Genomic DNA, 20634 nt, shown 5'->3' with positions numbered 1-20634 from the left:
ATCATTTCACAATAACCAGTGATTGCATGAAATTAAAATTGCTGGTAACAGAAATTGCAAATAGGGAGGAGGAAATGTATATGTATTTGAATAATCTCTAAATTTTCTCAGTGAATAGGTTGGATGATTTTATATTCATGGGAATTTGAGAAAGGTTTATATTCTCTTTATCCTTTTAAAATTATTTTACTTCAGCAACATTTATATCAGTTGAGTAGGAAACATAGTCATCGAAATATCATTGATATTCATGTCATTCAATATACTGGAAAAAGAGTTTCTGTCAAAGCAGTATGTGTGCCAAGTATTGGTGCTTTTCTTGTGATGAACATAACACAAAACCCTGATAATGTGTTCTGTTAGGAAAGTGAATCTGCCAACAGCAGATCAATACTGGAGATGGATATCAGTGCTGAGATATTCACTAACGGCTACTCTAGGTCCCAGGGCAGTCGAGGAGGAGCAAATTATATCTTAATAAGAGTTACAGATCAGTAATGACAGTGAAATACAAAGCATAATGTAGAGAGCTTCAAAGTCATTTTTATCATGGAATTGAATCACCAAAATTTTATAGGATTGATGGGTTCTTAGAGTCTGAGAAATCTTATTTAATGTCCAATGTGTCACCACATAACAAGGTAAAAACTGATTATAATAATTTATTTGTTTTAAAATTTGATTTGGCAATAGGGTCTCTGCAAGGCGCAACCCCAGCAAATTTATTCACACTGGAGCCTGTAAGCTATCCACTATAAAACTAGCAATGAAATGTCCGTATCCCTCAATATATTCTCTCCATCTATGTAAAGGTATTCATAGAGGTGTGCAACACAAAAGCCCCATTTGGCTAAAAGATTAAGGAAACCTCAGATAAATTTCACTTACATGTGATAGGAATCAATTTCACAAAAACATGAGCAAAGGTAGGGTACCTTTACTATTATCAGACACAAAGTTTCTTTGATCCTGTTTTCCCCTCTCTAACAAATGGCATTGAACACATTTCAGGAAACAGGCAGGAAAAATTGTTGAAAAAGCTTCCCCTTTTCATCTTAAAAATTCTTGGATGCTGCACACAACACTTCTAATTTAAATCCCTTTGAAAACACATAATCATAAGGCCACAAAGGGTATAAGAGAACCCAGAAAATGTTTCTATTATTCTGGATGACTATCCAGAATGTGCCGATGTGAATATGAGAGATTCAATCACTAAGAAATAGAGGGTAAACAAACATGGGGAAAAATCAGCATCCTTTTGCACTGTTATTATAACTGATATATTGATGTATCATGAAAGAAAATTAAAGTATTACGTCAAAAATATAATGTTATGTATTTGTGTCTGGGACACTCTGAAATTGGATTCAATGATTGAAAAATATTTCGGTACAAAAATTTCAAAGTATAAAGATTCAGAAAATCAGTAGCCAAAATATATACTTCCTTTACTTTCCTAAATGTTCTCTATAGATTTTTCTTTTAAAAATCCAATGTATTAATATTATCAAGTAAACTATAATAACCTATGCAATGTTTGATTATTAAAAATAAAATATGACATATGAAGAAAATAAAAATGAATTAAAGAAATTGTATATATTAAGATTTTTTAGCCTTCATGATTTAATGCTTTGCTGTGTATTGAGATCACCTTTTAATAAAATACTGGTTTATGGAGTGTAATCTGGGCATCATTTTTTAAAGTCACTCAATTGGTTCCAATGTTCCTCAAAGTTAGTAAGCAATTGTTTTTAAGTAAAATATAACACTACTCACATTTAATGAAAATGAGGGAATTTATTAGCTAACGTCACTGAAAATTCCTTAGATAAGAATGTGATGAGTTGTAGCGTAATTTAATTGAGTCTCTGGATTTATCTTTCTACATTTTCTTTTGTGTTTTTACTCTTATGATGTTATGGGCTGAATTGTATCTCCCCTCTCCCCCAGATTCATTTGTTGAAGTCCTAATATCCAACACGTCAGAATGGGACTCTATTTAGAGATAGGATCTTTAAAGAATCAATTAAGATAGAATGAGGCCTTCAGGTTCAGCCCTAATCTAGTAATGGCTACCTTCCTTACTAAAAGAGGAAGTTTGTTTGCAGGCATGTAGAAAGAAAACAAAAAACAAACAACAACAAAAACGTGTATATATGGGAGAGGACAGTCATCTATAAGCAGCAAGACTTCAGAAGGAACTAACCCTGCCAACACCTTGATTTTGGACTTCCAGCCTCTGGAACTGTGAGAAAATAAATTTCTATTTTTTATGCCACTGTCTGTGGTATCTTGTTATGGCAGTCCTAGCAAACAAGTACAGCTGTGAACTATATAGAACTAATTTTCTGTCTGATGGCAAAATGATGATACTTTTAGGCCTATATGCAAAGAAAACAGATTGTCTTTTTAGTGACTTACTTTTTAAAGTTAGGAAACATTATTCCACACACCCTAGAAAACTTCCTTACAGATCCTGCTAACTGCTTCAGTGCCACATACTGTGTTTGATGGGATAACACATACCCAATGGCATTTCAGTGGTTTAAAGTAAATATAAACTATGGCGCCTATTTCATTCTCATGTACTGAGTCCACAGTGAACATATCAGTCTGGCAAGCCACTTTCCTTTACAAGGTCTGTTCAGAGACAAAGAATGAAAGCACTTTTGCTATCACTAACACATGATTTCAAGATTCTTCTAACTATCCTCTATTACCCATAATCTTAACCCCTAGAATAGAGAAACAAAACAAAACAAAAAACAAGGACTCAAATTGTATATATATATTTAAAGGACTGTCCTTTAAACATGACAGGTAAATTTCACCCATTCATTTTGCTCTTTATGTTTTATTGTCAATGTTTAATTACATAAGCAAAATTATAAGAGAATTTTGGAAATATAATCCAGCCATGTATTCAAGAAGAAACAAAAAAAAAAATGACTTCTGTTCAACAGCTAGCAATCTATACACTCTTATTCCTTCAAGAAACAATGTCTACTATATCCACAGCCTGTGTGCTATAAGTCTACATTTCTGAACGAGTCATTTGCAATGGAGACAGAATTATTTCCAGTAAATTAGGACAGTCCCTGAAACTGTAAGGGAACATAGGTCTGAATGCTTGCCGCTTGCAGAGTCCAGTTAACAGTAGTGAGGGCCGGGCACGGTGGCTCATGCCTGTAATCACTGCACTTTGGGAGTCCAAGACGGGTGGATCACCTGAGGTCAGGAGTTCGAGACCAGCCTGGCCAACATGATGAAACCCCATCTCTACTAATAACACACAAGATTAGCTAGGCATGGTGGTGGGCTACTCCCAGCTACTCAGGAGGCTGAAGCAGGAGAATCGCTTGAACCCAGGAGGCAGAGGTTGCAGTTAGCTGAGATTGTACCACTGCACTCCAGGGTGGGCAACAAGTGAAACTCCATCTCAAAAAAAAAAAAAAACAAAAAGAGAGGTCTGGTAGAAAATGAATTTATTAACCAGAACTAAAGGAAGTAGCTGGATTCCTATCCAAAGTAACTGCTTTGATTTTGGTGGGGGAAAGCAGGGATTTAGAAAGGGAAAGCTGACAAGGAAGGCATGCAAGAATTTGGCTGAGTACAATGTCTGTGTGTCTTGCCCTGGTGGCTGTCTTGGGTCCCAGTTCACCTGGACCTCGGGCTGACATCATGTCAACAGTGGTCAGGTTGTTAACTAGCTGCCTTGAAGGAATCTTTGGAATGTTGCAGATGGGTTTCCAAACTTGGTCTGTCTGTCTCAAGATTATCTCCTGGAACTTCTAAGACGACACATAATTAGATAGCAGCAGTTAGGTAAATGTTAAAGAGGTATAAACAGTGAGAAAGAAAGCGATATGGAATCTATTTTAAGGCTAAGAAAAAAGGCTTCTGGAATTTGCCTCTAGGTTATATCTTGAAATCCAAGAGAAAGGACAAAAAAAAAAAAAAAATGAACACATTTTGAAGTTAAGCTGCCCATGGAGGATCAGCTCAACCTGAAGCCTACCACTGTTTCAGGGCAAACAGCAGCATCTTCTACAGAATGATTTAAAACAGGAATGACAATGATTGCATTGACTACCCATATATGCTTAAGATCAAAGGATGAATAGATTTGAATACTAAAAACAAGTAGTAAGTCCTGATATAATCACATTTTTGATACTTTGAAACAGGTGGGGACCATGCAATTCTTGGATCTCTTTATGAGAATAACTAGAGAAACACCTTAACTCTGAAAACCACAATATTTACTGAGATCAATTAGACCCAAAGTCTTAAGGAAAAAACACTATATTTTACTTCAAAAGCATATCCTTTTAAAAATTTTATATGCTCATCTCCCCAAACTACACACAGTTCATTCTTATTCACTACATGTTACAAAAAAAGTAGTAATTATTGCAATCCAAAGTAACCACAATCACTTGTCTATTGTTTATTACATGTTTCTCTTACTGGAATACTAACCTCATGGAAGTAGAGATATCACTTTCTTTGTATACTGCTCTGTATTCAACAGTTGGAATACAATACAACTTGTACATAATAAAACCCTCAAAATATTTGTGGAATCAATGAATGAAATAACAGCAAAATAATAGTTGGAATGATGAATGGAGACAGAGAGAAGAGACAGAGAGAGAAATCTCCAAAAGTAATTTTAAGGTGGAGGGTGTTAGAGAGAACTGGAAGTATAAAGCCTACAGATGGAAGTAGATATAATGAAATAATGTGTATTAGGTTATGGTGAGTCAAGATATAATCTCTATCTTTAATCTGATATATCAGGGAAAACTATTATAGGAAATAATTGCCTTGCACAACATCTGTAATATTTCAGCTGCTTAGTAAATTGTAGACATTATTATGACCAGTAAGATATTGTTTGAATAAAAGAAGTAGCAAAAAGCAAATAAAAAAATTATCAATTGTCACACATAGCAACTTAATCTTATCCCTGAAAGGAGAAATGCCATTTTTATTGTAAAGCTTAATGAATAGTATGAAAATAAAACTGTCTTCAAAGTAATGTTCCTCCTCAAATAATATTATTTTTGGCATATATTATATAGACAAAAATTATTGCTAAGATTAATTTTATTGTAGTCATTATTTTATCATCATTATTGTAATAATTTTTTCTTGCTTCTGTAGCAAATTACCACAAACTTGATGGACTGAAAAACACAAATTTATTCTTATATTTCCATAGGTCAGAAGTCTGATGAAGTTCTCATTGGACTAAAGGTAATGTGTTGGCAGGGCTGTACTTCTTTCTATAGATGCTAGGGAGAATCTGAGTTGGTTGTTTGTTTGCCTTTTCCAGCTGCTGGAAGCATCTGTATTCCTTGGTTTGTGGCCCATTTCCTGAATTTAAAAAGCCAACAATGGTAGATTGACTCCTTCTCATATCCTATCACTCTGATCTGCTTTTCTGCCCCATTCTAATAGTTTCAAGAGCACTTGTGATGACTGACATTGGGACCACATAGAAAATTCAGGATGATCACCCTCTTTTAAGGTCAGCTAACTAACAACCTCAATTTCATCTTCAACCTTAATACTATTTGTATAATTAGCCTAGTCACAGGTTACTGGGATTAAGACAGAGACATCATTGGGAGACACTGCTCTGTTCATGGTGGGTATCATTTGTAAAACAAAAATAAAATTCTAGACTCCCCAACTGATTAAATGGACCCTTTTTGGCCAAGGAGACCCCAAAGAAACCTGAAAAACTGAATCCCTGGCCATTTCAGAAGGGAGGTTGGACATGTCTCATTATATCCCCTCACTTTTGGAGTTTAGGTTAAAACAGATCATAAGTCTTATAGGACAGACTTATTGTGCAATAAGACACCAGATTATAAACAAGACCTAAGACCATGCAAGATAGGGGTTAAGTCATAACCTACAAACCATATAATCTCACTAAATCATTTCTAAAATTATCCCAGTATAATGTGGCTGAGTTTCCAACTTGACGCTGGTATAGCATCACATAACAGATGGCAGACCTTGAAGGAAATCAAAGTATTTTACCCCCAAAATATATTTATTTGACATATTTTGAAATAGCCCTGCAAAACTAATGTTTTTTGTGGGGGAAATTTCTGTCTGTAGAAAATCTTCACTAATGCATCCAGGCCTTTCTTCCTAGCCTTTGCCCAAATCTAGGAGAGATTAATAGAGAGTCAGATACCTTTAAGGTTTGGAAAGAGATATTTACCATCTATTCTCTCTGAAGGCGGCTATCTATGAGGCTTCGTCTACGAAACAAGGGCCTTGACCTCTACAACTCCCTCAGCTTGACTCAAGGATTCCTTTGTACCGACTTCAAGTCTTTACACAAAGCTTAATTCAACCAATGGCCATTCAGACACCTCTTCTCTCCTTCTCTGCTGCACCACTCTGCCAGTGGAGCTTGGGGTTTTTATGGGCACAGGAAAAGGTGTATGGCAGGCCAAAAGGCGACATTTGGGTGGGAAAATGGGGATGTGAAGTTCTCATTTAGGGCAGTGGGTCCAGGCTTGAAGGTAAAACCCTTGCCAAACACCCTGCCTTTTCTATCTAGTATTCCTCTGCCTCCTGTCCATATCACCAGTTTCTTCATGGTTATTATTTCCTATCCTGCTAATTTGGGCTACAAGGGTTGTGAAAAGTTGTCATAAGCAAAAATACATTTGTCCTACCGTATCACCAAGCCCTGTCAGAGTTAGATTATCTTAAAAAGTAAGATTATTATCTAAAAAGATTTTTATTAAAAAATAAAAGAACAAAGACAAAACATATCAAAATGCTCATCCTTACTACATGAGGGAGCTTACTGCCAAAAATTTACTTAAGGCACATTAGTCAGGATTCCTCAGAAAAAACAACCAATAGGAGAGTGATAGACGAGTGGAGAGGAAGTACAAGAGAAAGGGTGGGAGAGGGAGATAGAGAAAGACATTTATTTTCAGGAAATTGGCTTACTTGATTTTGGAAGCTGGCAAGTCTGGAATCTGCAGAATTGGCCAGCAGGCTGGAAATTCCAGCAGTAGTTAATACTGCAATTTTCAGTGCAGACATAGTCAGAAGCCAGAATCCTTTCCCCTTCAAGGGACCTCAGTCTTTTGTCTTGAGTTCATCAGATAATTGCATGAGGTTCCCCCACATTATGAAGGTTAATCTGCTTTATTCAAAGGTTTACTGATTTAAGGGGGTAGAAAAAGAGTGAATAATGAGAGATTACTTAATAGGTTTTGTCAGGCCTCTGAGCCCAAGCCAAGCCATTGCATCCCCTGTGACTTGCACGTATATACCCAGATGGCCTGAAGTAACTGAAGAATCACAAAAGAAGTGAAAATGCCCTGCCCCACCTTAACTGATGACATTCCACCACAAAAGAAGTGTAAATGGCTGATCCTTGCCTTAAGTGATGACATTACCTTGTGAAAGTCCTTTTCCTGGCTCATCCTGGCTCAAAAAGCACCCCCACTGAGCACTTTGCGACCCCCACTCCTGCCCGCCAGAGAACCCCCTTGACTGTAATTTTCCTTTACCTACCTAAATCCTATAAAACGGCCCCATCCTTATCTCCCTTCACTGACTCTCTTTCTGGACTCAGCCCACCTGCACCCAGGTGAAATAAACAGCCATGTTGCTCACACAAAGCCTGTTTGGTGGTCTCTTCACATGGACACGCATGAAATTTGGTGCCATGACTCAGATCTGGGGACCTCCCTTCCCAGATCAATCCCCTGTCCTCCTGTTCTTTGCTCCGTGAGAAAGATCCACCTACTACCTCAGGTCCTCAGACCGACCAGCCCAAGAAACATCTCACCAATTTCAAATCTGGTAAGCGGCCTCATTTTACTCTTTTCTCCAACGTCCCTCACTATCCCTCAACCTCTTTCTCCTTTCAATCTTGGCGCCACACTTCAATCTCTCCCTTCTCTTAATTTCAATTCCTTTCATTTTCTGGTAGAGACAAACGAGACACGTTTTATCCGTGGACCCAAAACTCCGGTGCCGGTCACGGACTGGGAAGGCAGCCTTCCCTCGGTGTTTAATCATTGCAGGGACGCCTCTCTGATTATACACTCATGTTTCAAGGGTGTCAGACCACGCAGGGACGCCTGCCTTGGTCCTTCACCCTTAGCGGCAAGTCCTGCTTTTCTGAGGAAGGGACAAGTACCCCTCAACCCCTTCTCTCCTTGTCTCTACCCCTTCTCTGCTTTTCTAGGAGAGGGGCAAATACCCCTCAACCCCTTCTCCTTCACCCTTAGTGGTAAGTCCTGCTTTTCTATGGGGCAAGAACCCCCAATCCCTTATTTCCATGCCCCAACCTCTTATCTCTGTGCCCCAATCCCTTATTTCCGCACCCCGACCTCTTATCTCTGTGCCCCAATCCCTTATTTCTGCACCCCGACCTCTTATCTCTGTGCCCCAATCCCTTATTTCCACGCTCCAACCTCTTATATCTCTGCACCCCAATCCCTTATTTCCACACCCCAACCCCTTTTCCTACTTTTCTGGAAGGTAAGAACCCCCGAACCCCTTCCCTCCGTTTCTCTACTCTCTCTCTTCTCTAGGCTTGCTTCCTTCACTATAGGCAACCTTCCACCCTCCATTCCTCCTTCTACTCCCTTGGCCTGTGTTCTCAAAAACTTAAAACCTCTTCAACTCACACCTCACCTAAAACCTAAATGCCTTATTTTCTTCTGCAATGCCGCTTGACCCCAATACAAACTCGACAGTAGTTCCAAATAGCCAGAAAATGGCACTTTGAATTTTTCCATCCTGCAAGATCTAAATAATTCTTGTCGTAAAATAGGTAAATGGTCTGAGGTGCCTGACGTCCAGGCATTCTTTTACACATCAGTCCCTTCCTAGTCTCTGTGCCCAGTGCAACTCGTCCCAAATCTTCCTTCTTTCCCTCCCACCTGTCCCCTCAGTACCAACCCCAAGCATCGCTGAGTCTTTCTAATCTTCCTTTTCTACAGACCCATCTGACCTCTCCCTTCCTCCCCAGGCTGCTCCTTGCCAGGCCGAGCTAGGTCCCAATTCTTCCTCAGCCTCTGCTCCTCCACCCTATAATTTTTTTATCACCTCCCCTCCTCACACCTGGTCCTGCTTACAGCTTCGTTCCCTGACTAGCCCTCCCCCTCCTGCCCAGCAATTTACTCTTAAAAAGGTGGCTAGAGCCAAAGGCATAGTCAAGGTTAATGCTCCTTTTTCTTTATCCCAAATCAGATAGTGTTTAGGCTCTTTTTCATCAAATATAAAAATCCAGCCCAGTTCATGACTTGTTTGGCAGCAACCCTGAGACACTTTACAGCCCTAGACCCTAAAAGGTCAAAAGGCCGTCTTATTCTCAAAATACATTTTATTACCCAATCTGCTCCCGACATTAAATAAAACTCCAAAAATTAAATTCCAGCCCTCAAACCCCACAACAGGATTTAATTAACCTCGCCTTCAAGGTGTACAATAATAGAAAAAAGTTGCAATTCCTTGCCTCCACTGTGAGAAAAACCCCAGCCACATCTCCAGCACACAAGAACTTCCAAACGCCTGAACCGCAGCAGCCAGGCATTCCTCCAGAACCTCCTCCCATAGGAGCTTGCTACACATGCCAGAAATCTGGCCACTGGGCCAAGGAATGCCCACAGCCCGGGATTCCTCCTAAGCCGTGTCCCATCTGTGTGGGACCCCACTGAAAATCGGACTGTTCAACTCACCTGGCAGCCACTCGCAGAGCCCCTGGAACTCTGGCCCAAGCCTCTCTGACTGACTCCTTCGCAGATCTTCTTGGCTTAGCGGCTGAAGACTGACACTGCCGGATCGCCTCGGAAGCCCCCTAGACCACCACGGATGCTGAGCTTCGGGTAACTCTCACAGTGGAAAGTAAGCCCGTCCCCTTCTTCATCAATACAGAGGCTACCCACTCCACATTACCTTCTTTTCAAGGGCTGTTTCCCTTGCCTCCATAACTGTTGTGGGTATTGACGGCCAGGCTTCTAAACCTCTTAAAACTCCCCAACTCTGGTGCCAACTTAGACAATACTCTTTGAAGCACTCCTTTTTAGTTATCCCCACCTGCCCAGTTCCCTTATTAGGCCGAGACACTTTAACTAAATTATCTGCTGCCCTGACTATTCCTGGGCTACAGCTATATCTCATTGCCGCCCTTCTTCCCAATCCAAAGCCTCCTTTGCATCCTCCTCTTGTATCCCCCGACCTTAACCCACAAGTATAATATACCTCTACTCCCTCCTTGGCTACCGATCATGCACCTCTTACCATCTCATTAAAACCTAATCACACTTACCCCACTCAATGCCAATATCCCATCCCACAGCACGCTTTAAAAAGATTAAAGCCTGTTATCACTCGCCTGCTACAGCATGGCCTTTTAAAGCCTATAAACTCTCCTTACAATTTCCCCATTTTACCTGTCCTAAAACCAGACAAGCCTTACAACTTAGTTCAGGATCTGCGCCTTATCAACCAAATTGTTTTGCCTATCCACCCTGTGGTGCCCAACCCATACACTCTTTTGTCCTCAATACCTTCCTCCACAACTCACTATTCCCTGCTTGATCTTAAAGATGCTTTTTTCACTATTCCCCTGCACCCCTCGTCCCATCCTCTCTTTGCTTTCACTTGGACTGACCCTGACACCCATCACGCTCAGCAAATTACCTAGGCTGTACTGCCGCAAAGCTTCACAGACAGCCCCCATTACTTCATTCAAGCCCAAATTTCTTCCTCATCTGTTACCTATCTCAGCATAATTCTCATAAAAACACACGTGCTGCCACACACGTGCTGCCAATCGTGTCCCACTGATCTCTCAAACCCCAGCACCTTCTACAAAACAACAACTCCTTTCCTTCCTAGGCATGGTTAGCGCAGTCAGAATTCTTACACAAGAGCCAGGACCACACCCTGTAGCCTTTCTGTCCAAACAACTTGACCTTACTGTTTTAGCCTAGCCCTCATGTCTGCGTGCAGTGGCTGCCACTGCATTAATACTTTTAGAGGCCCTCAAAATCACAAACTATGCTCAACTCACTCTCTACAGTTCTCATAACTTCCAAAATCTATTTTCTTCCTCATACCTGACGCATATACTTTCTGCTTCCCGGCTCCTTCAGCTGTACTCACTCTTTGTTGAGTCTCCCACAATTACCATTGTTCCTGGCTCAGACTTCAATCCGGCCTCCCACATTATTCCTGATACCACACCTGAACCCCATGACTGTATCTCTCTGATCCACCTGACATTCACCCCATTTCCCCAAATTTCCTTCTTTCCTGTTGCTCACCCTGATCACGCTTATTTATTGATGGGGGTTCCACCAGGCCTAATCACCACACACCAGCAAAGGCAGGTTATGCTATAGTACAAGCCACTAGCCCGCCTCTTAGAACCTCTCATTTCCTTTCCATCGTTGAAATCTATCCTCAAGGAAATAACTTCTCAGTGTTCCATCTGCTATTCTACTACTCCTCAGGGATTATTCAGGCCCCCTCCCTTCCCTACACATCAAGCTCCAGGATTTGCCCCACCCAGGACTGGCAAATTAGCTTTACTCAACATGCCCTGAGACCGATAACTAAAATACCTCTTAGTCTAGGTAGATACTTTCACTGGATAGGTAGAGGCCTTTCCTACAGGGTTTGAGAAGGCCACCACAGTCATTTCTTCCATTCTGTCAGACATAATTCCTCAGTTTAGCCTTCCCACCTCAATACAGTCTGATAACAGATCAGCCTTTATTAGTCAAATCAGCCAAGCAGTTTTTCAGGCTCTGAGTATTCAGTGAAACCTTTATATCCCTTATGGTCCTCCATCTTCAAGAAAAGTAGAATGGACTAAAGGTCTTTTAAAAACACTCCTCACCAAGCTCAGCCACCAACTTAAAAAGGACTGGACAATACTTTTACCACTTTCCCTTCTCAGAATTCAGGCCTGTCCTCGGAATGCTACAGGGTACAGCCCATTTAAGCTCCTGTATAGATGCTCCTTTTTATTAGGCCCCAGTCTCATTCCAGACACCAGACCAACTTAGACTGTGCCCCACCAAAAAAAAAAAAAAAAAACTTGTCATCCCTACTATTTTCTGTCTAGTCATCCTCCTATTCACCGTTCTCAACTACTCATACATGCCTTGCTCTTGTTTACACTGCCGGTTTACACTGTTTTTCCAAGCCATCACAGCTGATATCTCCTGGTGCTATCCCCAAACTGTCACTATTAACTCTTGAAGTAAATAAATAATCTTTGCTGGCAGGACTATGCTGAATCTCCTTAGGCACTCTCTAATCAGATATCCTGAGTCGTCCCAATTCTTAGACCTTTTATACCTGTTTTTCTCCTTCTGTTATTCCATTTAGTTTCTCAATTCATCCAAAACCGTATCTAGGCCATCACCAATCATTCTATATGACAAATGTTTCTTCTAACATCCCCACAATATCACCCCTTACCACAAGACCTCCCTTCAGCTTAATCTCTCCCACTCTAGGTTCCCACGCCGACCCTAATCCCACTTGAAGCAGCCCTGAGAAACATCGCCCATTCTCTCTAGATACCACCCCCCAAAAATTTTCGCTGTCCCAACACTTCAACACTATTTTGTTTTATTTTTCTTATTAATATAAGAAGGCAGGAATGTCAGGCCTCTGAGCCCAAGCCAAGCCATCGCATCCCCTGTGACTTGCACGTATATGCCCAGATGGCCTGAAGTAACTGAAGAATCACAAAAGAAGTGAAAATGCCCTGCCCCACCTTAACTGATGACATTCCACCACAAAAGAAGTGTAAATGGCTGGTCCTTGCCTTAAGTGATGATATTACCTTGTGAAAGTCCTTTTCCTGGCTCATCCTGGCTCAAAAAGCACCCCCACTGAGCACCTTGCAACCCCCCACTCCTGCCCGCCAGAGAACAAACCCCCTTTGACTGTAATTTTCCTTTACCTACCCAAATCCTATAAAACGGCCCCATCCTTATCTCCCTTCACTGACTCTCTTTTTGGACTCAGCCCGCCTGCGCCCAGGTGAAATAAACAGCCATGTTGCTCACACAAAGCCTGTTTGGTGGTCTCTTCACACGGACGCGCATGAAAGGTTTAATGTGTGTATGTTTTTTGGGTGATGTATACTCTAAAAGTTCTGATTTTGCCATTGCAGAATCTATGCATGTAACAAAATTACACTTATACCCCATACATTTAAACCCATTAAAATAGACAGATGGATGTATAAATGTTAAGCACATCTAAAAAAGATCTTCACAGAACATCTAGGTGGTTGTTTGACCATAAAGTAGGTACTATAGCCTAACCAAGTTGATCAAAAAATTTAATCATAATAGTAGGGATAGTGAAGGAAATTAAAAGAAATTTTTTAAAATGATGGGTATACAATGTAAATCAAAAATAAAATTTGAAGTACCCCCCACTGCAATCATCTGAATAGACTCCCTCCTTGGCCAGCAATTCCTAACATTTAATCTGAAAGACTGGTTCAGGCCATAATGGGAAGTGGGGGTCAAACATGCCTCATTATATCCCTCCAGCATTAAGATCAACAAAGACCTTAAGTCTGATAAGAAATATTTACAATCTATTTTCTCTGAACCTTGCCACCTGGAGGCTTCATCTGCATGATAAAACCTTGGTCTTCACAACCCCTTATCTTAACTCAGTCATTCCTTTCTACTGATAATCATTCTTTCAAACAATTTCCAATGGGAATATGTTTAAATCTACCTATAACCTGGAAGCTAAGTGCCCCAACCTGCTTCAAGTTTTTCTGCTTTTCCAGATCAAACTAATGTAAATCTTACATGTATTGATTGATGTATTATGTCTCCCTAAAATGTATAAAAGCAAGCTGTACCCCGACCACCTTGGGCACGTGTGGTCAGGACCTCCTGAGGCTGTGTCATGAGCATGTCTTTAACCTTGGCAAAACAAACTTTCTAAATTGACTGAGACCTGTCTCAGATATTTTGTATTCATACTCATCACTAGCACACAGAAGTAGATCTGGCATGCCCTTCATAGTATAAATAATATTTAGAGAATAAAATATTGGTTTTTAAGAACTTTTTATTTAGTTTTATTTGGATACCAGCTAAGGAGATAAATAGTTCCTACTAAAAATTACTCCACTCATTCAGTTATCTAACAGATAGTTACGTGCCTTCCATGGGCCAGGTATATTCCCTAGGCTGTAGAGAAAAATCAGCAAGGAGGCAAAACGTTTGCTTGCATGGAACTTATCTTCTAGTGGTGGAGTAAGACAATTCACAGGATTGGTTTATCCATCCTAGAGCAAACCTCCAGGATTCAAACTTATTCTAATTCACTTCAGCAGCTGCACTCAATCACACTCCAGGGTATTACTTTAACAGGATCTAAATCTCCACACTTTAATGACAGATCAAGCAATTAACATCTCCTAGAGGGATGGAATCTAAATGCAAACAGCTTATGCAAAGCAATATCCCTGAAGGAGATTTTAAGCACCTAACCCCTACGGAAAACTTATGCAAACAAGTATCAGTTGAAGTAGTTTATCCTTAATAAACATTTATTCAAACTAATACCCTCAAGCAAATTCTAAAGTCTAGCTACCACTCTACGCTCAACACACCATTTATTCACATTGGCACATGGCCACACACACCACACAGGACATTTCTTATTACTCCTTTGCAAAGTATACATTTAGCTGGGTCAGTGAGTATAGTAGGCTTGATTCAGTTCATCTAAAGTATGGACAAAAGCTAGATAAAAGCATTAACTCATCAAAGTTGTTTTATGAAATTTAATATTTATATATGTCTTTGATAATTTGATGTGATTATGTAGGTCGTGTTGGAAATTTAAGTCAGTGGTCCCTATGCATTCTCTAGTTATTTATTATTTATTTATTTTTAATTTTCAAAATGGAACTTCAACAACCTTGAAGATACGCATAAATTCAAAGCTAGGAATTAAGAAGAGACAGTGAGTCAGGAGTTTTTCCTGCTGATGGGATAGGTTCGTGGTCTTGCTAACTATGAAGAATGAAGCTGCAGACCTTCACAGTGTTACAGCTCAAAAAGAGTCCACAGACCAGGACAATGAGTAGCAGTGCAGTTTATTGAACAAAGTGAAAGGAAAGCTTCCACATAGCGGAAGGGGAGCCGGAAGGGTTGTTGTTGCTGGCTCCGGTGGCTAGGGCTTATATCCCTGTGCTACCCCCTCCCCTTTCTTTCTTTTTTGTCAACTGAGAATGGTTCTTTTTTCAATCCTCCCTTGGAGTGGTTAATTTTGAATCCTTCACTCAATTGGCTAAGAACTCAAAACCCTGAGTAACAGGGGACTTTTGTGAAGGTCCCTGAACCGGCCCAGGAAGTCCCGACAACTCCACCCCTCAACAGGACTTACAAAAATTATAAAGAACATGTTTAAAATTTCATAGCTGAACATAGAATAAATCCTGAGCATTTCTTTATATGACAAACTTGAGATAACATGGTTAATGAACAAAAGTTGGTCCTTAGAAAAAATATTAACTTTAATAACGTGATATTAAAAATGTAAAGACTAAATATTATCTGTACTATAATTGAGTTCTACAATTTATTAAAATACATATAAAAAGTATTTATTTTTCACATGGTAATCCATTAATTTGAAGGAGATAATGGTCATAGATAACACTATGGAATACCTAGGCAGAAAAACCTATGCTTCCATATTTGTATTAATTTCAACTTTGAAAATTAGTAATTATTGGCCCCATTTTAGACAAAGGCATACTCAAACCCAAAGAGGTGAGGCCATGTAGTGTCTGCACTTTGTACATCATCACATTTTATGGAACATGTTAATACAGACACTCTGTGGCCTTTAGAGATTTGAACTAAACCATTAATAGGGGAAGCCTTCCACATATACAGAACTCTTGAACAGATGTAATGAAAATCAAACTCCTGTGAGTTGGTTATTATTAAAAACATTTTTATTTGAGTAGAAATTAAAACTCTCCTTTTTCCTAGACACTCTTCCTTATTTAAGTTTCAGTTCTGTGCATTGCCAACATCACGGAGATTTCGATCTTATTCTGGTAATGTTTGAGACAGAATTTATAAAATGTTGTTGTTCTGTTTTCCTCTTATAATTAATTAATTTTTCTGTGACTTACATAGCACAAAACTTTAAATAATTGATGATGGTGATGAGAAATGAATAGAAGAAGGTTGGGATATTATACTTTAAATACCTATTTGCTTTTCAGGAAGATACCATTTTAAGAATAAGATTTAAAAGGCAACAGTCCCAATTTTGTGACTAAGCTAGGAGAATATGACCAGAGGCAATATAGAAACGGTTTTATATTCTTCCTAATCATAGAACACTGTTTCACCTGTATACTGTTTTACCTGTACACTGATCATATCTGTAGTTAACATACTAAGTAAGATTCAATCTTGTAATGTATGGTAGCAAGTCCTTCAATTATAATTGATTTAATGCATTAGGTTTTAAGTCAATTTTGCTACTTCTTATCCTGTACCATTTTAACATCATTCAGTGTACATTCAATCTATCCATCTTGTGTCTGCATAAGCACATATGTGTATGCATATAAATGTATATGTATACACATGTGAAAAGATATGTGAAATGCATGAACACACAGCTGTACATGTGTGCACATGATATATCACATACATGATGGGTATACACACATGTGTATATTTATGAATGTATACACACATATATGTATACATACACCTATGTATGTGTATATATACACATACCTTTTTAATTATAAAGAATTTCAATTCTTAGACACTTACAATAATAAAAGTGCAGCACATTTACCATGTGGAATAAAATCATAGTATTCTCTAGCTTTTCTGCATCATTTTTTAAAGTTATTTTTAAAATTGTTTTTTTTCCTAGTTACTATCAATTTTGTTTTAATATTGGAAGTAATCATTTCTTATAAAAATCTTGTTAGTGTGAAGGTTTCCATCATTCTATTACAACTTGGCATAATTTAGCAATATCATTTAGGTAATCTGATTAGTGATCTAGATTATAATTTTATCATCACACTTATATTAATGTTTAGTTATGAAATTTTCAGTAGCATAGTTCTGTTCAAGATTATTCTCAATTTTATTTAGTATGCAATTCAATTAATTTATTTTCTTTGTAGGCATCTACCATTTATTCTAGCCTTCTCAATTAACTTATAATAACATCTACCAGTAAAGTTTTTTATTAAAGTAAGCTGCTTGATATTTTTATATATTAAGTAAAATTGTATTTCCTTTCTTTTTGCTCCTTCCTTCCTAAAATTGACAACCTGTGGATAATGCATCTGTTTGGGCCTTAATTAATCAGAGGAATACATCAACTCTCTATTTGTCTATAAATCCTAGATAAGATTTTAAAGTATTTTCTTATTAACCTTTCCAGAAGTGTCATTATTATCCTTTCAAGAAATTTCAGAAAATACCTAGAAAACTATGACTCTCTCCTCTATTCCTTAAAATATAGATACTGTGTGATGTCAATTGACTGATGATTTAAAAAAAAAAAAAAAGAAAAGAACAGAAAGTCCAGCCACTTTCAATGTGTTTTTAAAAGAACTCTTAAATGGAGAATGAAATAAGTATGTGCATTTTTTTTTGCCGGTTTTTCACATGTATGAAAGATCTATAATTCACAAATGCCACAATTTTAAGTGAGTTATATGCAGGTGCATTCCATGATTGAAATAACTCAGAAAGCTCTCAGTTTTGTGAAAGGATTTATTTTTGTCCGCTACACTGTAACTCTGTTTCAATTCATTTCAAACTATATTTTCCTGGTGTTATTTACTTATTGATTTGGACTGAGCATTTTGTTGGCAGGATGAGCTCTATGAGGAGAGGCTACGTATACTGTACCAGAATTTGGCACAGTATTTTTCTGTTGTATTTCTAACAGAATAGAGCATTGGATCAGAACTTGGCTTCTAATGGAATTAAAATAGTAAGGCTGCAGCTTAAGTCATCAAATCCAATGATATGTGAATTGTTCCACTATATTAATGTGCTGTTTTAAAAAGAAAACATTATAATCCGCCCCCAGGTGCTGTATGGAACTTCTACCTTGAACACATTTTCTTTTATAACTTTCTGTATGTAATCAGTTCTGTGCTTTTGATGATTAATTCATGTATTTTTTTTTTAGCACCTCCTGGATTAGAGACATTTTTCATAATTTCTTACTGTTTTATTCTGAATTTTCAATTTAAGGCCTGAGTTTTTAATTTGCTGATTTCAATGTTTCATATTGTGCCTTTAAGAATATAGCTGACTAAGCAGATGGTAGGATATTGGACATCTAGGAGGACAGATGTTTTCAGCAGAATGCTCAGGATGACCAGAAGCAACCAATGAGGTCTTCTGTGGGGAATGTTATGCCCTTGAAACACTTTTGTATGCTTGTTGCTTTAAAGTCTTCAGAACGGAACTCTGACCCTGATTGTGAGGGCTATCTTTGAATACATATTCTCCACTTTTGATAGTGTGTTTTACAGAAATGGGAGAAAAATAGACAGGTCAGGTTGAACAGATATTAATATCACGGCTAAGGCTGAACTTTTAATTTATATTAGTTTACCCTCATTTAATAAATTCATGTCTTCTATTTCACAGCTGAAAGCACTAGATTTTAAAGGCAAAATATGTCATTTTGTAATGTCTATTAAATTATGTTGATTGCTAAGGTTTGAAGGATTACAAATATCCTTACTTTTTATACAAGACTTGTTTTGCTTTCTTATGACTTCTTGGATCTTAAAGCAATTGCCTCCTAAAAAATCATTTCTATTGTATTGCTACACCCAAGTTTAAATTGTATCTTCTATTAATTTTGCAGCAATAAAGAGAAAACACAGAGTGAAGAACTAGGGATGCAAGAGAGGGTAAAACTTATTCCCTGATTTACTCCCTGATGATTTCTCGGTTCCAATAGAAAGAAAGCTGCATCTGGCCAATACATGGTTATTTTTTTCCCTCGTTTACCAATCAAAAACATTGCTTTATCTTCTTAGTGACAAAATGAAATGGTGAAGCAGGGTCAGGAAGTTTTTCAATATTGAAACTTTATACACATATAAGGAAGTATCAGGAGTAAGGAATTAATTTTTCCCCCAAAAAATGTCCCTGAATGTCCAAGAGGCAAGTCAAAGCAGACAAGTATATGTCTGCCAGTATAATAGGTGGTATGCAGGGAGACTAAACCTCGGCAAACTCCTTCCTAGAGTTCTCCTTAATAGGCAAATTAATTTAAATAGATATGAAAAACTTAGCACTGTGCCTGGAAGATATTACTCAACTAAACATGTTATTTATTATTTTAAATAGTTTAATTTTAGTTATTAGAATATGTGATTTTCTACAGAATCATTAATAAAAATCTCTGTTTCTATTTAGAAGGGAACTGTTAATAGAAAGAACTGTATGAGTAAGTGAAAGTATATCAGTATCTGAAGTAAACTGTATCTCCTGTGGTATTAAATATATTTTATTAAACAACGGTTATTAGATTTAGCTTCTCCATTATAAATTATTTTATTTCTTTCTCTAACAAAATCAAACTTCACAGATAATCAGAGTAGAATTCATTTTTGTTTATGTTTTGTTTTCCTTTAAATTGTGTTAAAAGTGAACAGTTTTTTAAAAACTTAAAAAATAAAAAGTACAATGGGAAAAAGTGCAAAACCCAAATATTAATTGGTGCTTAGAATCTTTTACTATTTTTTTAAGGCTTTGGGGACAAAGCCCATACTCCTTAGTATAGCATGCAATATCCATCATAATCAGGCTCTAGTCAATCTAACTTTTATTTCCTCAAATTCCCAGCTCCAGCCCAGAACATATACCTTCAAACACAAGCTGACATAGCATGTCCTACTCATATTGAAAACACTGCATTTCTCTAAACACAATAAGCTATTTCATACCTTACTGATTTTCTACATTCAGTTCATAGCTCAGGATCCTGCATTTGAAGCCTTCAAACTTAAGCTTTTTTAAAATTTATTTAATAAAGCTACAGCAATAAAGCAATAGCAACCACAACAAGTATTACCTCAATTTATTTCCATTTGAAGAAATCTAAACTTGTGTTGCCTTTTTAAATAATGTAATCATATTGCAAGAAATCAAAGCACACTAGATTTAAGAGGAAAAAAACACCTCCACAATATCTGGTCCAGGTTCTTGTCTTTAAGCATGCAAATTCTACCTCAATAAAAATTGATTGTTGCTAAATTTTTATTTTTTATTTATTTATTTATTCATTTTTCTGAGATGCAGTTTCACTCTTGTTGCCCAGGCTGGAGTGCAATGGTATGATCTTAGCTCACCGCAGTCTCTGCCTCCTGGTTTCGAGCAATTCTCCCGCCTCAGCCTCCCAAGTAGCTGGGACTACGGGCATGTGCCTCCATGCCCGGCTGATTTTTGTATTTTTAGTAGAGACGGGGTTTTTCCATGTTGGGCAGGCTGGTCTCAAACTCCCGACCTCAGGTGATCTGCCTGCCTTGGCCTCCCAAAGTGTTGG

General features: G+C 38.1%; 5 annotated features.

Moving 5' to 3' along the window:
- Window positions 6361–6655: a silencer, noted in NCBI's record as "tiled region #559; K562 Repressive non-DNase unmatched - State 24:Quies". NCBI's record gives its function as "represses a minimal TATA promoter and a strong SV40 promoter by Sharpr-MPRA in K562 cells {active_cell/tissue: K562}" and the evidence as "EXISTENCE:reporter gene assay evidence [ECO:0000049][PMID:27701403]".
- Window positions 6983–7879: an enhancer, noted in NCBI's record as "OCT4-NANOG-H3K27ac-H3K4me1 hESC enhancer chr13:56234325-56235221 (GRCh37/hg19 assembly coordinates)". NCBI's record gives its function as "activates a minimal SCP1, AML or CMV promoter by ChIP-STARR-seq in naive and primed H9 embryonic stem cells {active_cell/tissue: H9 hESC(naive and primed)}" and the evidence as "EXISTENCE:reporter gene assay evidence [ECO:0000049][PMID:30033119]".
- Window positions 10569–11465: an enhancer, noted in NCBI's record as "NANOG-H3K27ac-H3K4me1 hESC enhancer chr13:56230739-56231635 (GRCh37/hg19 assembly coordinates)". NCBI's record gives its function as "activates a minimal SCP1, AML or CMV promoter by ChIP-STARR-seq in primed H9 embryonic stem cells {active_cell/tissue: H9 hESC(primed)}" and the evidence as "EXISTENCE:reporter gene assay evidence [ECO:0000049][PMID:30033119]".
- Window positions 12362–13259: an enhancer, noted in NCBI's record as "OCT4-NANOG-H3K27ac hESC enhancer chr13:56228945-56229842 (GRCh37/hg19 assembly coordinates)". NCBI's record gives its function as "activates a minimal SCP1, AML or CMV promoter by ChIP-STARR-seq in naive and primed H9 embryonic stem cells {active_cell/tissue: H9 hESC(naive and primed)}" and the evidence as "EXISTENCE:reporter gene assay evidence [ECO:0000049][PMID:30033119]".
- Window positions 14116–14829: an enhancer, noted in NCBI's record as "OCT4-NANOG hESC enhancer chr13:56227375-56228088 (GRCh37/hg19 assembly coordinates)". NCBI's record gives its function as "activates a minimal SCP1, AML or CMV promoter by ChIP-STARR-seq in naive H9 embryonic stem cells {active_cell/tissue: H9 hESC(naive)}" and the evidence as "EXISTENCE:reporter gene assay evidence [ECO:0000049][PMID:30033119]".

This window comes from Homo sapiens, chromosome 13 (assembly GCF_000001405.40).
Source record: "Homo sapiens chromosome 13, GRCh38.p14 Primary Assembly".
Lineage (NCBI taxonomy): Eukaryota > Metazoa > Chordata > Mammalia > Primates > Hominidae > Homo > Homo sapiens.
The sequence above is the reverse complement of the archived record's forward strand: the minus strand, read 5'-3'. Positions and strand labels throughout refer to the sequence as shown.